This window comes from Homo sapiens, chromosome 6, assembly GCF_000001405.40.
Source record: "Homo sapiens chromosome 6, GRCh38.p14 Primary Assembly".
NCBI lineage: Eukaryota > Metazoa > Chordata > Mammalia > Primates > Hominidae > Homo > Homo sapiens.
In genome coordinates, this window is record NC_000006.12 from 18,180,296 (window position 1) to 18,198,308 (window position 18,013).

At 41.7% G+C, this 18,013-nt stretch overlaps 1 protein-coding gene across 29 annotated transcripts in view; it reads left to right on the top strand.

The window, feature by feature from the left end:
- KDM1B (lysine demethylase 1B) overlaps nt 1-18,013 on the top strand; it is a 68,433-nt gene that overhangs the window by 24,874 nt on the left and 25,546 nt on the right. For 14 of the 29 annotated variants that reach the window (NM_001439117.1, NM_001439118.1, NM_001439119.1 and 11 more), the window contains 5 exons: nt 5,477-5,515; nt 7,497-7,707; nt 10,902-11,086; nt 16,762-16,938; nt 17,292-17,366. In NM_001439117.1, coding sequence (NP_001426046.1) covers nt 5,477-5,515; nt 7,497-7,707; nt 10,902-11,086; nt 16,762-16,938; nt 17,292-17,366 — 687 coding nt within the window. The remainder of the gene's footprint in view (nt 1-5,476; nt 5,516-7,496; nt 7,708-10,901; nt 11,087-16,761; nt 16,939-17,291; nt 17,367-18,013) is intronic. The other 15 variants (XM_017010445.3, XM_047418357.1, NM_001439122.1 and 12 more) reach the window with 2 other exon arrangements.

Consider the following 18,013-nt stretch of genomic DNA (forward strand, 5'->3'; position numbering starts at 1 on the left):
TATCTTGGTTGCACTAAACTTAACTACCTGTGTCCCAGATTACTTGACAATGAAAAGTTGACTCAGTGGCATTTCATTATAATATTTAAAGGAGAGTTCAGCCAAGCAACAATAAAAAATAGCAGACTATTTTAATAGATTCTACTTTTTGAGCCATTTTCACTCAGCCTGGGTATGCGATGATTCTAAAAGTTTTTTCAGACAATTTTTTAAGATTTTGGATGATTTGTGTAATACTACATTAATCAATACTAGCTGTGATTTTGTTGTTGTGGTTTTGTTTTGTTTGAGAAGGAGTCTTGTTCTATTGCCCAGGCTGGAGTGCGGTGACACCATCTAGGCCTACTCCAGCCTCTGCCTCCCAGGTTCAAGCGATTCTCCCACGTCAGCCTCCCGAGTAGCTGGAACTGCAGGTGCTCACCACCACGCCCAGCTAATTTGTGTATTTTTAGTAGAGACGGAGTTTCACCATGTTGGCCAGGCTGGTCTCGAACTCCTGATCTCAGGTGATCCACCTGTCTTGGCCTCTCAAAGTGCTGGGATTACAGGCGTGAGCCACTGCTCCCGGCCACTCTAGCTGTGATTTTTACATTTTGTTCTGTGCTTTGACTAAACTGTAATTGGAGTGATCCGTAATCTCACCTCTCTTTTACTTGCTGACAATTGAGTGGACAACTTTGACTTTACTAATTGTTTAAATTATGCCTTGCTTTTTGTTTTTTAAATTTTTTCTTGGGTGGTGGTTGTCACTTTTAATTTCTCTAAGTAGTTTTTGAAAACTCGAAGGTTTTCTGTAGAACACTTTTAGACAAATGATACATGTTCATTATTGAAAAATTCCAGCAATATAGAAAAGAACAAAGATAGCAGAAAAAAATTCATGCAGTCTTCATTGTGAATTAACCATCATTGAGTGAGATTCATTCAAGAGTATCTATATAGTGTACCTCTGTGTGTATACAGGGAGAAGGCCTGATTGACAGATAGCTTCCTGTTAAGGAATAGTACTACACACACTTTTTTTTTCTAAGTTGGTTGTGTTTAATATAACATCAATTTAAAATAAGAAAAGGAAGCCAAAGTGAAATAAGAAATTGTTGAACATAAAATATTTCTTTATCCCAAGAAATAAGTTTCTAAAAACTCTCTAAAAGGTTAAGAAAATATGAGAATAAGAAGTGGGAATCAGTTGGGCGCAGTGGCTCATGCCTGTAATTTCAGCCCTTTGGGAGGCTGAAGCAGGAGTTTGAGACCAGCCTGGGCAACATGACGAGACCCTGTCTCTACAAAGAATACAAAAATTACCTGGGCCTGGTGACGCGCTCCTGTAGTCCCGGCTACTTGGGAGACTGAAGTGGGAGGATCTCTTGAGCCCATGAGGTCAAGGCTGCAGTGAGCCAAGATGGCACCACTGCACTCCAGCCTAAGTGACACAGTGAGACCCTGTTTCAAGAAGAAAAGTAAAAAAGTTGAAATCACTCTAACTTGAAAAAATAAAAAAAACAAACTTCATGTTTCAATTTTAGTTGATATTGGTCAACACCCTGCTATGAAATCAGAAAAAATAAATTATATAACACTTCCTTTTCTTCTCTCCCAGTTTTTGTTATGGTTTTGTTTTTTGTTTAGTTTTCTTGGCGATTTTGTTAATTATTTTCTATAACTGTATTCCCTCCATTGTTTACTCTGACTTATATGTTTATGTAGATTTACTGCTCTCTGTAATTTCTTTTACCATAGTTCCATTTTTTTATTTTGATTTGAAACCTGGCTGGCTGTATTTTAACATCAAGCATTTTTTTCCAGGAGGGCCTCAGAGGTGTCAGATTCCTTACATTTTTGAAAACTTAACTACTTTTCTTCTCACCTCACCTTAGTTAAAGCCTTTATAGTCTTTTTAAATTCCAATTTCTATGGATAATATCAAATCTCTTCCCCCAACCCCAGTCACCCTCCTTTGAGACCCCTTCATCTTATTGTTCCAGTATGAATCGATTACTCTCCACAACCTGAACTTTTGAAATATTAATTTAAATTATATATATTGACCCTGAGTAATTTTGGTTTTCAGCGTGGTATGCTGTTAAGGAGAAAGTCAGTGAAGGTTTATTTGTAGAATAACATGAAAAAGAACAATTGACAACTCTGTACACTGTTTTTGATTTTGCTGTTTCTCATTTAATATGTCTTAAAAGATGTGTCCATGTAAGTATATAAAGAGCTCTTCTTTCTCTTCATTTTTATTTCATTCTTTTTTTTTTGAGACGGAGTCTTGCTCTGTCACCCAGGCTGGAGTACAGTGGCATCCTCTTAGCCCAGTGCAGCCTCAAACTCCTGAGTTCAAGTGATTCTCACCTGACTCAGCCTCTCACCACAGGCACGCGACCATGCACAGCTACTTTTTTTTAATTTTTTTGTAGTGACAGGGTCTTGCTATGTTGCCCAGGCTGGTCTCAAACTCCTGGCCTCAAGTGATCCTCCCACCTTGGTCTCCCAAAGTGCTGGGATCACAGGTGTGAGCCACTGTGCTTAGCCCTTCATTCTCTTCAATGGCTGTCTAATAAGTAGTCCACTGAACAGACGTCCTGCGTTTAATTTAGTGCTATTGAAGGGCATTTAGGTTACTTTTAAACATTTACTGTTCCTGACTGTGCTTTAGTGAAAAGCTTTCTATCTGTGCTATTTTTGAGTATATTTGTAAGATCAGTTCCTACAAATGAAATTTCTGTATCAAAGGGTAGATGCTATTGTTTTAATGTGAAATAAGTTATAGACACAAAGAGTTATAATTTATATGTAAGGAGGAAAGAATGAAAGCAAACACTGGTGTGCCTCCCTACTACTCAGTTGAAGAAACAGAGCACTCCCAGTGGCTTTGTCCCTCCCTCCAGTGTGCTCCTCAGTAGTTATTATGCTTCCTCTCCTTCCCTTGCAGGGGTAAACAATGTCCTGAATTTTGTGGGTTTTTTTTTTTTTTTTTTTTTTTTTTGAGACAGAGTTTTGCTCTTATTACCCAGGCTGGAGTGCAATGGCGCAGTCTCGGCTCATTGCAACCTCCACCTCCCAGGTTCAAACGATTCTCCTGCCTCAGCCTCCTGAGTAGCTGGTGCCCGCCACCACACCTGACTAATTTTTTGTATTTTTAGTAGAGACGGGGTTTCATCACGTTGGCCAGGCTTGTCTCGAACTCCTGAACTCAGGTGATCCACCCACCTCGGCCTCCCAAAATGCAGGGATTACAGATGTGAGCCACCACGCCGGGCCCTGAATTTTGTCTTTCTTACTCCTTTGCTTTTTGTTACAGGGTTAATACGTATTTCTGAAACCCTAAGTAACATAAGTTTTGCATATTTTTATACTGGTTACAAATTATATCACAATTGTTTATATTCCTCTTTAACTTGCTCTTTTCGCTCAACATTAAGGTTTTGGAGATGCATCCATGTTGATGCATCTAAGACTTTGGTGTGTTAATACCAAAGAGTAGTATTAGAATTACATTGTGTGAACCTACCTTGGTGTGTGTATTCTCGTGTTCATGAATATAAGGGCTGTTTCTAGTTTTTGGCTGTTACATACAAATGCTACTGTGAGCATTCTTGCCTGGCACAAGGACAAGAATGTCTTTGAAATACAGTCCAAGGACTAGAACTGCTAGGCCATATGGTCTAACAATCTTGTTTATTTAGGCAACTTTTCTTAGTGAAATATACAAACAGAAGACGCACAAATCAAAATGCATAACTCAATGAATTTTCGCCAAGTACTCATTTAGCTGGCTCCCAGGAAAGTAACAGAACACACACCAGCCCCTTAGAAGCCCCGTGTCACTTTTAATCACAGTCTTTAACCCTTGCTCCCCTAGAGTAACTACCTACTTTTCTGACTTACAATCATATAGTTTTGTTTTGTTTTGTTTTTTTGCTTGCTTTTAAGTTTTACATGAATGGTATCCTACACTATGATTGTTCTAGCTTCTTTTTTTTTTTTTTTTTTTGAGACGGAGTGTCGCTTTGTCGCCCAGGCTGGAGTTCAGTGTTGCGATCTTGGCTCACTCCAACTTCCGCCTTCCAGGTTCAAGTGATTCTCCTGCCTGAGCCTCCCAAGTACCTGGGATTACAGGTGCGCACCACCATGCCCGGCTAATTTTTGTATTTTTAGTAGAGACGAGGTTTCACCATGTTGGCCAGGCTGGTCTCGAACTCCTGACCTTAGGTGATCCACCCACCTCAGCCTCCCAAAGTGCTGGGATTACAGGTGTGAGCCACTGCACGGGGCCTGTTCTAACTTCTTTTGCCCAACATTGTGAGATGTGTCCATGTTGTAATGTGTAGTCATAGTTTGTTCTCATTGCTGTGCAGCATGCCATTGTTTGACTATAATACAATTTAAGTGTCCATTGTACTGTTGATGACCTTTGGGTTGTTTCTAGCTTTTTTCCTTTTTTTTTTTTTTTTTTTTTTTTAAGACAAGGTCTCTTGTCCAGGTGGAGTGCAGTGGTGCTGTCACAGCTCACTGCAGCCTCAACCTCCTGGGCTCAATCAGTCCTCCCACTTCAGCCTCCCGAGTAGTTGGAAGTACAGGCATGCACCACCAAGCCTGGCTGATTTTTGCAATTTTTGTAGAGATGGGGGGTGTTACCCAGGTTGGTGTTGAACTCCTAGGCTCAAGCGATCCACCTGCCTTGACCTCCCAAAATGCTGGGATTATAGGCATGAGCCACTGAGCCTGGCCAGTTTCTAGCTTTTTTTGAATACAAATAATGCTCCTTTGAACATTTTGTAATACTTTTGTTGGTGCAGATATACAAGAGTCTCTCTCTGGAAAATATAACCCAGTTAGAATTGCTGGATGTGTCATACGTATTTTCAGTTCTAAAAGATAATGTCAAATGATTGTGCATTTTAAATGTTCGTATTTTGTCACCGCCCTTCGTGGTTGTTATATGCCTTTATTTTCCACCAGGAACATCCTTATGATCTCATGTGCCTGTCTCCCCACACTCTCACTTTTTTTTTTTTTTTGAGATGGAGTCTCGCTCTGTTACCCAGGCTGGAGCGCAGTAGCGCAGTCTCGGCTCACTGCAACCTCCACTTTCCGGGTCCCAGTGATTCTCCTGCCTCAGCCTCTCCAGTAGCTGAGATTACAGGCACCTGCCACTATGCCTGGCTAATTTTTATATTTTTAGTAGAGACAGTTTTTCACTATTTTGGCCAGGCTGGTCTCAAACTCCTGACCTTAGGTGATCCACCCACCTTGACCTCCCAAACTGCTGCTCAACCTCCCGAAGTGCTGGGATTATAGGCGTGAGCCACAGAGCCAGGCCTCCAGACACTCTGATTTATACATTGTTTCATAAAAATGCTTTTCTTTGCCAGCCTGATAGGTGAAAAGAGATATCTTATTGAAGATAAATGGATACCTGAGACTATATTTTATAAGCAACCCTAATTTAACACTTGGTTTTCTTTTGTAGCCTGAGACCTCAGATCATTGTTCCCTCCCAGAGGATCTAGTGAGTATTTCCGGATGGTGTGGATTGGGGTTAATTGTGCCTTTGATGATAAGTGTTACAAGGAAATGATAGTAACAGCTTCATGAATTTCTTTCTCTTTGGTTGCTGATCAGTGACTTTTTAATCTAACATGGTAACTATATTATGAAAATGTTAGCAATAGTGATATTATGGGTAGTCCTGTCCCCAACTTAAAAAATAAAAATAAAGTTATGTTGCTTTTCATTAAAAGGAAACAAAGAGGAAGACACAGCTCTCCTGCCTTGCTCTAGGGCTCAGGCTTGCTGTACTTGTTTTTCAAGGATGACTTTGTGACCTTTTCTCCACTTGAGTCCTCCTAAGAAAAGCACAAGAGGGCCACAATTTGATCGTCTTGGCCTGGATTCAGCTGCAGGAGTGTTCTTATGCATTCTGACCTCAGCATGTTGGCTTTGTCCTGTCCTCATGCAGATATGGCAGGGGGAGCAGTACTTCCAGCTGGCAAAGCTGGTCACATTTCCTCTGTTTTCATAAGACTTTGCTACCTGAGTTGACAAACTTCAGTGTACCATGTAACCAGATTCGGTGACTGTTTCAGAAAAGAGGTTTTTAAATTTTGGGTTTCTTGAGTTTCTAGAATCCTGAGTCATTCTGATTTTCAGTGATTCAGGATTGGATTGTTCTAGATGTCTGAAACTCAGGAACTACGATAGCTTTTCAGGCAAAGACAGCATTGACTTTTAGCAAATCTACTTTAAATCCATTCTGTTATATAAAAGGGTGTTTGCATGTGTATTAGTCCGTTCTCACGCTGCTTGCTATAAAGAACTGCCTGAGACTAGGTAATTTATGAAGGAAAGAGGGTTAACTGACTCACAGTTCTGCATGGCTGGGGAGGCCTCAGGAAACTTAGAATCATGGCAGAAGAGGAAGCAAATGTGTCCTTCATGATGGCTGGAAGGAGAAGTGTCAAGCAAAGGGGGAAAAGCCCCTTGTAAAACCATCAGATCTCATGAGAACTCATTATCACAAGAACAGCATGAGGGTAACTGCCCCTGTGGTTTAATTACCTCCTACCAGCTCCCTGCCATGACACATGGGGATTATAGGAACTACAATTCAAGATGAGATTTGAGTGGGGACCCAGCCAAACCATATCAGTATGTATATATGTGTGTGTGTGTACACACACACACACACACACACACACATTTTTTTTCCAGGCTCCAGAATAGACATTTTTTTTTTCCCCGAATTCCTGGAGCATAAGTGTCAGATTGCATTTAGAAAAGCCTGTCTACCATGGATTGTGGCAGTGTTGCTTTGGAAGCCACATAGACTTTCTTTTTATTTCAGTAGTCATCATGAGAAGGCTCTGATTTGATGACTCCATGTTAAGTCAACTCTGGAACAGTATCACGTATTTGAAGACTGAAAATAACTGCTTTTGTTCAGTTCTACATTTGGCGTCTTATTTTGATGTTTGCAGTGTACTTTTCCCTCTGAAAGTTTTTTAGTAGCCTTTGGCAAAAAGCGGTAATACTTACTACTTGGGAGCATTATTTTTTATGCCCAGTTTCCCAATTTTAACTATCTTGAGGTCCTAAGTTAAAGGCGGGGGGCTTGAATGATAGATGATTACTGAGCAGAGATGCATTTTTCACATCAGACTTAAACCTAGGCTTGCGATCTAGTAAATGGGCACAGCTTTCAGACTCACCTGGCATTGGGGAGCTTATTTTGGGGGAGGGATAAGGGAGGCTGTTGCCATATGTCAGAAAGAATTCTGTCTGGGAGACATTCTTGCCAGGTGTTATCAGCCCATTTTTGTTTCTACATCTGTGTGTGTAGAGCTCTGGAATAGAATTGTTAAGTCTGAGCAAGAAAAAGCATAGCGGGTTAAGGACAAGTGAAACGAAGAGAACCCTCTGTCCCTGGCAGAATCTGCATGTACATTTCTTGTCTGTCCTTGTCTCTCTTCTTCCTGTCTGGCCCATTGCAGAGAGTATTGGAAGTTTCCAACCATTGGTGGTACTCTATGCTCATCCTACCTCCTTTGCTGAAAGACAGTGTGGCAGCGCCCCTGCTGTCTGCCTACTACCCTGACTGTGTTGGCATGAGCCCCTCCTGCACCAGCACAAACCGCGCCGCTGCCACTGGCAATGCCAGCCCTGGGAAGCTGGAGCACTCCAAGGCTGCCCTCTCCGTGCACGGTGAGAGCCATTCCTGGGACTCCCTGCTTTCTATTCCCCGCTCCCCTCCCTGAGGAACGTGTGAGTGAGCAAAACGCAAAGGATTTTTTTTAAATGTGCAGGCTGGGCACAGTGGCTCATGCCTGTAATCCCAGCACTTTGGGTGGCCGAGGCAGGAGGGTCCCTTGAGGCCAGGAGTTTGAGACCGGTCTGGGCAACATAGCGAGATCTCGTCTCTAAAAATAAATAAATAGATAAAAATTATTTTTAAAAATGTATGCGACCTATGATATAAAGCCCCTCATTATTTCATGGAAATGGTTGTACTGTGGATCAGTCACATCATTTGTGTATAGTGTGTGGTTAATTTTTCCTCAGTAGTTTGGAAAACCTGCAACACTCATGAATTACCTACAGGACTTAATGAGTATTTATTTGGAAGTTGGATTGCTGTCTTGTTTAATGATAACATGAACTCTGACTTACTGGGAAAAGGTTTTCAACTATATGAGCAGTCCTTTTTCTTCTGAGTCTTTCTGCCTCTAATTATTGCCACTGGTGATCCCAGCGAAATCACCTACTCTCAAAAAAACTGCAGAGCAGGCATACTTTTGATTATTTACTTTATTTTTTATTTTATTTTATTTTTTGAGATGGAGTCTCACTCTGTTGCCCAGACTGTAGTGCAGTGACACTATCTCAGCTCACTGCATCCTCCAGCTCCTGGGTTCAAGCAATTCTCCTGCCTCAGTCTCCTGAGTAGCTGGGACTCCAAGCACGTGCCACTACAGCTGGTTAATTTTTTTTTTTTTTTCTTTTTGAGACAGAATCTCAGTCTGTCACCCAGGCTGGAGTGCAGTGGCGTGATCTTGGCTCCCTGCAACCTCCTCCTCCCAGGTTCAAGCGATTCTCCTGCCTCAGTCTCCCGAGTAGCTGGGATTACAAGCGCATGCTACCACACCTGGCTAATTTTTATATTTTTAGTAGAGATGGGGTTTCATCATGTTGCCCAGGCTGGTCTCGAACTTCTGACCTCAAGTGATCCGCCCCCTTCAGCCTCCCAAAGTGCTGGGATTACAGACATGAGCCAGTGCACCCGGCCTGATTATTTACTTTAAAGGCATCTTTAAAAATCTACATTAGAATTCTTGGTGTAAGAAGCAAGAATTCTGGATTTCCTACGCCTGGACAGGAACAAATGGCATTTTTGATTATGCAAATAGATTTTTGCACTGTGGTCCTATCTTAAGGTTTTGTTGTTGTTGTTGTTTACCAATAACACTGGAATATAGATGTGGTGGAAATCAAAGCTAAAGTGGTAATTCCCAGGGTTAATGAAGATGCGATGAAGAGGCATTTGACTGCTGTTAGGGAGAGTGTATGTTTACGAAGGAAGATTTGGCAGTGTGCATCAAAAACTTTTAAACAGACACTCTTTGACCCAGCAGTGCTATTTCTAGGAATTTATCTTAAACAGCTAATCAAATGTAAATCCAAAGATAGGTACAAAGAAATTTCTTTTCACATTGCTTGTAATAGTGAAGTAATTGGATGAAATGTAATGCCTAGCAATAGGGAAATGGTTAAGTAATAAGAAAATATACAGCCATTGAATGCATATTTAGTGACACAGGAAAGTATTCATGGTATTGTACACATTAAAAAGCAGGTTAGAAAACGGCACTTTCATAACATTTTTTTCAGTTTCATGAAGGCAAATATCTATTATGTGAATATTCTCTGTTAATAGACACAGAAATAAGGATAAAGTGTACCTCTAAATGTAACTCCACTACTGACATAATCAGGGGTTAGTGATTGTTATTTACTTCTATGAACCTATTCATTTTATAGTCAGAAAAATGCCATAAGAGTTATTTTAGGCCGGGCACAGTGGCTCACACCTGTAATCCCAGCACTTTGGGAGGCCGAGACGGGCAGATCATGAGGTCAAGAGTTTGAGATCAGCCTGGCCAAAATGGTGAAACTCCGTCTCTACTAAAAAAAAATACACAAAAAATTAGCCAGGTGTGTGGTATGTGCCTGTAATCCCTGCTACTGGGGAGGGTGAGGAAGGAGAATCACTTGAACCTGGGAGGCGGAGGTTGCAGTGAGCTGAGATTGTGCCATTACACTCCAGCCTGGGTGACAGAACAAGACTCTGTCTCGAGAAAAAAAAAAAGTTATTTTAAAAACGTACCTCCATGAGGAGTGGGCATTCAGTGGATATAGAATTTGTCTTACAAGATGAGAAAGTTCTAGAGATCTGTGCACAGCAGCATGAATGTACTTAACACTACTGAACTGTACACTTAAAAACAGATAAGAAGGCCGGGCGCAGTGGCTCACGCCTGTAATCCCTGCACTTTGGGAGGCTGAGGCAGGTGGATCACGAGGTCAGGAGATCAAGACCATCCTGGCTAACACAGTAAAACCCCGTCTCTACTAAAAATACAAAAAAAAAAAAAAAATTAGCTGGGCATGGTGGCGGGCGCCTGTAGTCCCAGCTACTCGGGAGGCTGAGGCAGGAGAATGGTGTGAACCCGGGAGGCGGAGCTTGCAGCGAGCCGAGATCGCGCCACTGAACTCCAGCCAGGGCGACAGAGTGAGACTCCATCTTAAAAAGAAAAAAAAGATAGCTGGGCATGGTAGCTCATGCCTGTAATCCCAGCACTTTGGGAGGCTGAGGTTGGCAGATCACTTGAGGCCAGTACCTTGAAACCAGCTTGGCCAACATAGTGAAACCCATAGCTACTAAAAATAGAAAAATTAGCCAGATGTGGTGGCGAGCACCTGTAATCCCAGCTACTCAAGAAGCTGAGGCATGAGAATCACTTGGACCCAGGAGATGGAGGTCGCAGTAAGCCGAGATTGGACCACTGCACTCCAGCCTGGGCAACAGAGCAAGACTCTGTCTCAAAAAAAAAAAAAATTAAGATGATAAATTTTATGGTATGCATTTTTTTACCACAGTTAAAAATAAAATAATTTTTCCATGCTATGGAAATTAAAGTTGAGAATAGCATGAAGAAAGAATGAGAAAAATACTTAATTTATGTACGTTTTGTCTAACTGGGTGGAGGAAGCAAAGGTATTTATGTAGGGTAGAGAGTGGAGCTTGTCTAGGCTTACTTTTTGGTTTGCTTTTGCCCTTTAATTCTTCTGGATTTGGAAGTTACAGCTTGTAGGAGTTGCCCATTTGTGTTACCTATCAGTTCCAGGCATGAACCGATACTTCCAGCCTTTCTACCAGCCCAATGAGTGTGGCAAAGCCCTCTGTGTGAGGCCGGATGTGATGGAACTGGATGAGCTCTATGAGTTTCCAGAGTATTCCCGAGACCCCACCATGTACCTGGCTTTGAGAAACCTCATCCTCGCACTGTGGTATACTAACTGCAAAGTAAGTAAGGGCATGTTAGCCAATAGCACTGGACAGAGGAGGACCATGTTGAAAAGGAGGGGATACTTCATCTGGGGATGGAACCTTTTATGCCAGGGTTTCTCAGCCGTGCCTCTGTTGACAATTTGGGCAGATAATTCTTTGTGGTGGGGACTGTCTTTGCACTGTAGGATATTTAGCAAGATCCCTGGCTTCTACCCACTAGATTCCAGTAATGCTTCCCACCTGTGAAAACCAAATACGTCTATAGACATTTCCAAATGGGGACAGAATCACCCCTTGTTGAAAACCACCACTTTAGACCACACATAGTCAGAATGCTGACTCTCCAGTGGTGAGTATAAGGTGCAAGGTTTGGTCCAAAGAGTTCCAATGGCAATGGCAGGAGGGAAAAACATCAAAGATTGAATTACATACAAATCCTTGAGGACAGGAATTTTTATTCACCTCGGCATCCTAAATCAACCAAGACCAGTACATTTCTTCTGTTGGGTCTAAATACATGTTAGGGCTGTCACACTGTACCCACCTTGAAAAAGGTGAAAATAAATTATGGGGCAGAATGGGAATACTAGCTAAAAACAAAAAACAAAGGGGCTGGGTGAAGTGGCTTGTGTCTGTAATTCCAGCACTTTGGGAGGCTGAGGCAGGAGGATCGCTTGAGCCTAGGAGTTCAAGACCAGCCTGGGCAACATAATGAGACCCCCCCATCTCTACAAAAAATTAAAAAATTAGCCATGTGTGGTGGCACATGCCCATAGTCCTAGCTACTTAGGAGGCTGAGACAGGAGGATGGCCTGAGCTTGGGAGGTCAAGGCTGCAGTAAGCCGTGATTGTGCCACTGCACTCTAGCTTGGGTGACAGAATGAGACCCTGTTTCCAAAAAAACCCACAGAGATTCTCTTGACCCTAGCATTTTTCTGATTTATTAATTTAATCAGCAGTTTGCGTCATTGCTGAATTCAGAACATTGTGCAAGACTGCCAAAGTGATCTTGACTAAAGAAAGATATGCCAGTTTCACCTTGGCATTTCACTGGATTAGAATCCAGAATGAAATGACATAACCTGATTAAGTTATGGCTGTTAATGCAACTATATGAATTATAGCCAGGTGAGTAGGCTGTGCGAGGTAGCCAGCTGAGTAGGCTGTGCAACTTATTTTCCGCCCAGTAGCCTTGAGATAGGTGCTCAGTAAACCAAACTGAACAAAATTGTGGTCAGAGTTTCCTATAAGTAAATTATAAAGAGTGGTGGTGTGGCCCTGTAGTCCCAGCTACTTGGGACACTGAGGCAGGAGGATCGCTTGTGCCTAGGAGTTCAAGACCAGCCTGGGCAAGATAGTGAGATCCCGTCTCAAAAAAAAAAAAATACAACAGAGAAACACCTTGGATTCATTTTTTTTTTTGGTCACATTTCTTTCTGTTTGACTTTGAAATTTGACTTATACAGGGGAAGAATATTATAGAAGTCCTAAGCTTACCTGGATCTATTTTAGTTTTTCATAAGATACAATTTATTGTGTATACCGGCTGGGCGCGGTGGCTCACGCCTGTAATCCCAGCACTTTAGGAGGCCCAGTTGGGTGGATTACATGAGGTCAGGAGTTTGAGACCAGCCTGGCCAACATGGCAAAACCCCGTCTCTACTAAAAATACAAATAATTAGCTGGAGGTGGTGCTGGGTGGCCTTTAATCCCAGCCACTTGGGAGGCTGAGGCAGGAGAATCGCTTGAACCCAGGAGGAGGAGGCTGCAGTGAGCTGAGATCACACCATTGCACTCCAGCCTGGGCAACAAGAACGAAACTCTGTCTAAAAAAAAAAAAAAAAAAAAAGAATTTATATACTTAATACTATAGTGGGAAAACATAAATATATTGGCTTTAAAAGAATCAAAGACTTTGAAATGTGTGCTTTCTTTTTTTTTTTTTTTTTTTTTTTGAGACACAGACTTGTTCTGTTGCCCAGGCTGGAGTACAGTGGCACCATCACAGCTCACTACAGCAGCCTCGCCTTCCCAGTCTCAGGTGATTCTCCCATCTTAGTCTTCTGAGTAGTTGGGACCACAGGCACGTGCCACCATGCCCAGCTAATTTTTTTTTTTAGAGATGAGGTCTTGCTGTGTTGCCCAGGCTGTTCTCAAACTTCTGGGCTTAAACAATCCTCCTGGCTTGGCCTCCCAAAGTGCTGGAATTACAGGCATGAGCCACCACACCTGGCCTTGAAATGATTTTTTTTAAACTTCATGAATACAAACAAATGTATTATCTTCTGCAGCAATCCAAGCCAGTGTTGTATGTGTTATTTCTTGAATATTTGGTTCTGGTGGAGCTGGGGGGTTGGTGACAAGGAGCAGAGGAGAGGCCTGGGATGGGAGCTGCTTGGTGCCTGTTCTTGCTTCCTGACACTGGGTGGAGGTGGTGGCATCATTACTCTTGAGTCTTTGAAACAGATCAAGGTCATGCCAAGGCTGGGTGAGCAGAGAAAGACAGTGTCTTTTTTTTTTTTTTAAGACAGAGTTTCACTCTTGTTGCCCAGGCTGGAGTGCAATGATGCGATCTCAGCTCACCGCAATCTCCGCCTCCTGGGTTCAAGCGATTCTCCTGCCTCAGCCTCCTGAGTAGCTGGGATTACAGGTGTGCGCCACCAAACCCGGCTAATTTTTTTGTGTTTTTAGTAGAGACAGGGTTTCACCATGTTGGCCAGGCTGGTCTCTTAACTCCTGACCTCAAGTGATCCACCTGCCTCAGCCTCCCAAAGTGCTGGGATTACAGGCGTGCACTACCACGCCTGGCTAAATTTCTTGTATTTTTAGTAGAGATGGGGTTTCAACCATGTTGGCCAGGCTGGTCTCGAACTCCTGACCTCAGGTGATCCACCCGCCTTGGCCTCCAAAGTGCTGGGATTACGTGCTGTAAAGGCGTGAGCCACCGTGCTGGTTCCCCCATCCCCCCAACCATCTTGTCAGTCACAAGAATCCAGCTTTTTCTGTGGTCAGTAGGATCAGCAGCCTGGATTTCTGTAGTGGCCTTTGTTGACTCAGGAGTGTGATGTGCTCTGCCGCCATGCACCTGCTGCAGTCGTTCTTGCTCAGGGAAAACCGACACGATAAAGTGTAAATTGCTATATTTTCCTGTTGTCTCCTTCTTTTTCCCCACTGGGCAAACCTCCCTTTGTTCTTACTGTCTTAGTGATAAGTGATGGATTTGAATAACCTGGAGAATTTTTTTTTAAATTATTGTGGTTAAATACACATAACATAAAATTTACCATATTTTTTTCCTTCTTATTTTTTTTAAATGGAGACAAGGTCTTGCTATGTTGCACAGGCTGGTCTCCAAGTTTTGGGCTCAAGTGATTGCTCCTCCTGCCTCAGCCTCCCAAAGTGGTGGGATTACAGGCATGAGCCACCGTGCCTAGCCCTATTCCATCTTAACCATTGTGAAATTTACAGCTCAGTGGCATTAAATACATATATAATGTATAACCATCACCACTATCTAGTTCCAGAACTTTTTCATTATCCCAAGAGGGAACCCTATACCAATTAAACAGTCTCTTCTCATTTTCTCCTGCTCTCAGCCCCTGGCAACCACGAATCTACTCTCTATCTGTATAGATTTGCCTGTAATAGATATTTCCAGTAAATGGAAGCATATAATATGTGGCCTTTTATGACTGGCTTCTTTTGCTTGGCATAATGTTTTCAAGGTTTATCCATGTTGTAGCACGTCAGAACTTCACTCACTTTTATAGCTGAATAATATTTCATTGTTCATATCACATTTTGTTTGTCCATTCGTCCACTGATGGGCTTTGAATTGTTTCCACCTTTTCCCTATTTGAATACTGCTGCTGTGAACATTTTGTTTGAACATCTGTTTTCAGTTCTTTTTGGTATATACTAAGGATTGGAATTACTGGGTCATATGGTATTTTAGGTTTAACCTTTTGAGGAACCAAAAAAAGTTTCAAACATTAATTGGTTTGCCTTTTAAATTGAGAAATTTAAACATTGTATTTATTTATCGTGTACAATCTGATGTTTTGAAATACATATATGTATGTTGTGGCCGGGCACGGTGGCTCACGCCTGTAGTCCCAGCACTTTGGGAGGTCGAGGCGGGTGGATTACCTGAGGTCAGAAGTTTGAGACCAGCCTGGCCAATGTGGTGAAACCCTGTCTCTACTAAAAATACAAAAAATTAGCCGGGCTTGGTGGTAGGCGCCTGTAGTCCCAGCTACTTGGGAGGCTGAGGCAGGAAAATCATTTGAACCCGGGAGGCAGAGGTTGCAGTGAGCCGAGATTGTGCCACTGCACTCCAGCCTGGTGACAGAGTGAAACTCCATATCAAAAAAAAAAAAAAAGAGAAAGAAAATATGTATACATTGTGGAATAGCTAAATTGACCTAATTAACGTATGCCTTACATCATATAGTTACCTTTTTTGTCTCTGATAACTTAAAACTCTCTCCATGATATTCAAGTATATAATACATTGTTATTAACTATATGTTGTAGTTACCATGTTGTAAAATGGATCTCCTGAAATTATTCCTCTTGTCTAAACTGAAATTTTTTATCCTTTGACCAACATCTCCCCGCTATTCCCCCTCCCCTCAGCCCCGGTAATGCCCATTCTACTTTCTGCTTCTGTGAGTTGGGTGTTTTTAGATTCCACATGTGTATGTGAGATCATGCAGTATTTGTCTGTGTCTGGTTTATTTCACTTAACATAATGTGCTTCTGGTTCAACCATGTTGTTGCAAATGACAGGATTTCCTTTTTTTCTTTTAAGGCTGAATAGTATTCCATTGTGTGGATATAGCACATTTTCTTTATTCATCCATCAGTGGACTCCAGGTTGATTCCATATCATGGCAGTTGTGATAATGCTGCAATGAACATGGGAGTGCACATCTCTCTTTGACGTGCTGATTCATTTTATTTGACTACCCTGCAGTGGGGGTTGCTGGATCGTATGGTAGTTTTATTTTTTAGTTTTTTGAGACACCTCCGTACTGTCTTCCATAATGACTGTACTAATGTACATTCCACCAACAGTGAATAAGGGTTCTTTTTTCTCTTCATCATTTGTTACCTTTTGTCTTCTTTGATAATAGCCATTTTAACAGGTGTGAGGTGATTTTCATTGTGGCTTTAATTTGCATTTCCTTGATGATTAGTGATGGTGAGGAGTTTTTCATATATACTTGGACTTTTGTACCTTTGGGTTCCACATCTTGAAAATATTTGGGAAAAAAAATGGATGGTGGCATCTCTACTAAACACTATACAGACTTTCCTTGTCATTATTTCCTACACAATATTATGTAACAACTATTTACATAGCATTTACATTGTATTAGGTATTATAAGTAATCTAGAGGTAGCGTAAAGCATGCTGGAGTCTGCGTAGATTATATGTAAATATTATGTCATTTTACATAAGGGACTTGAGAATCTATGGATTTTGGTCTTCTCAGGAGGATTCTAGAACCAATCTCCTCCTGGAAACCAGGGAGGACTGTACCTGTTGGCCATTTGAGCATCTGCCTTTGAGAAATGTTGATTCAGATCTTTTACTTGTCTTTTAAATGGATTGTTTTCCTGCTATTGTTTGAATTTCTTGGGACTTTTTTAAAAAAGCAGTTTGGTTTTATTTCCAAACACAGGAAGCTCTTACTCCTCAGAAATGTATTCCTCACATCATCGTCCGGGGTCTCGTGCGTATTCGATGCGTTCAGGAAGTGGAGAGAATACTGTATTTTATGACCAGAAAAGGTCTCATCAACACTGGAGTTCTCAGCGTGGGAGCCGACCAGTATCTTCTCCCTAAGGACTACCACAATGTAGGTGATTATAGCTTTAGCGATAGCCTTGCCATTGATCAGGACAAACGCTAGTCTGTTGCTGTTAATAAATATAGTAAAAGCCACATTATCACCATAAAACTTAACAGAAGCAAGGCTTTCGCAGAATGTGTTTCTCCTGAAAGGAGAATATCAAGCACTCTTTCCCCAGATTGTAGGGAAAAAGGGAAGGGAGTAATAAGACAAGTGCCACCACATTCTTTAGGAAAATAACTTTCTAAGGACATCAAAGAAATGTAAATGAACGAATTTGCTCTGCAGTTCCGGAACAACTAAAACAGGACGTTGTTATCATCTGCTCTAATTGGACTTTTGTTTCTTTTCTTTTTAAGAAATCAGTCATCATTATCGGGGCTGGTCCAGCAGGATTAGCAGCTGCTAGGCAACTGCATAACTTTGGAATTAAGGTAGGATTTTGGGGACATGGAGTTAGAACAGATGGTTGACTGCTCCTTTTGGTCCAAATTTCTAAGATTTAGAAACCAGTTCCTATTTTTAGTGAAGAATACTAAATACATTATATGTTTATATTAGGTCCTAGAAAAGTTATAAAACTTGAAATTGATTTCATAAGAAAAAGGTAAATAGAAATTCTCACAGCTTTGGAGATAATTTTAGACTCTAATGAGCAAGTCAGAAGAAATTCTAACTTGGCATTAAAGTAGAAATTCTTTTTTTTTTTTTTTTTTGAGACAGAGTCTTGCTCTGTCGCCCAGGCTGGAGTGCAGCAGTGCGATCTCAGCTCACCGCAACCTCTGCCTCTTGGGTTCAAGCTGGGATTACAGATGTGTGCCATCATGCCCAGCGAATTTTTGTATTTTTAGTAGAGTGGGGTTTCACCGTGTTGGCCAGGCCGGTCTTGAACTCCTGACCTCAAGTGATCTGCCTGCCTTGGTCTCCCAAAGTGCTGGGATTACAGATGTGAGCCACTGCACCTGGCCAAAGTAGAAGTTCTTGACAGATTATTATTCGCACAATAGACATGATGAGAAAAAGCCCGTTTCCGCAGTAGTTTGAGACAGCAAATAGTAGCATGGATATTCATTATTCCTTG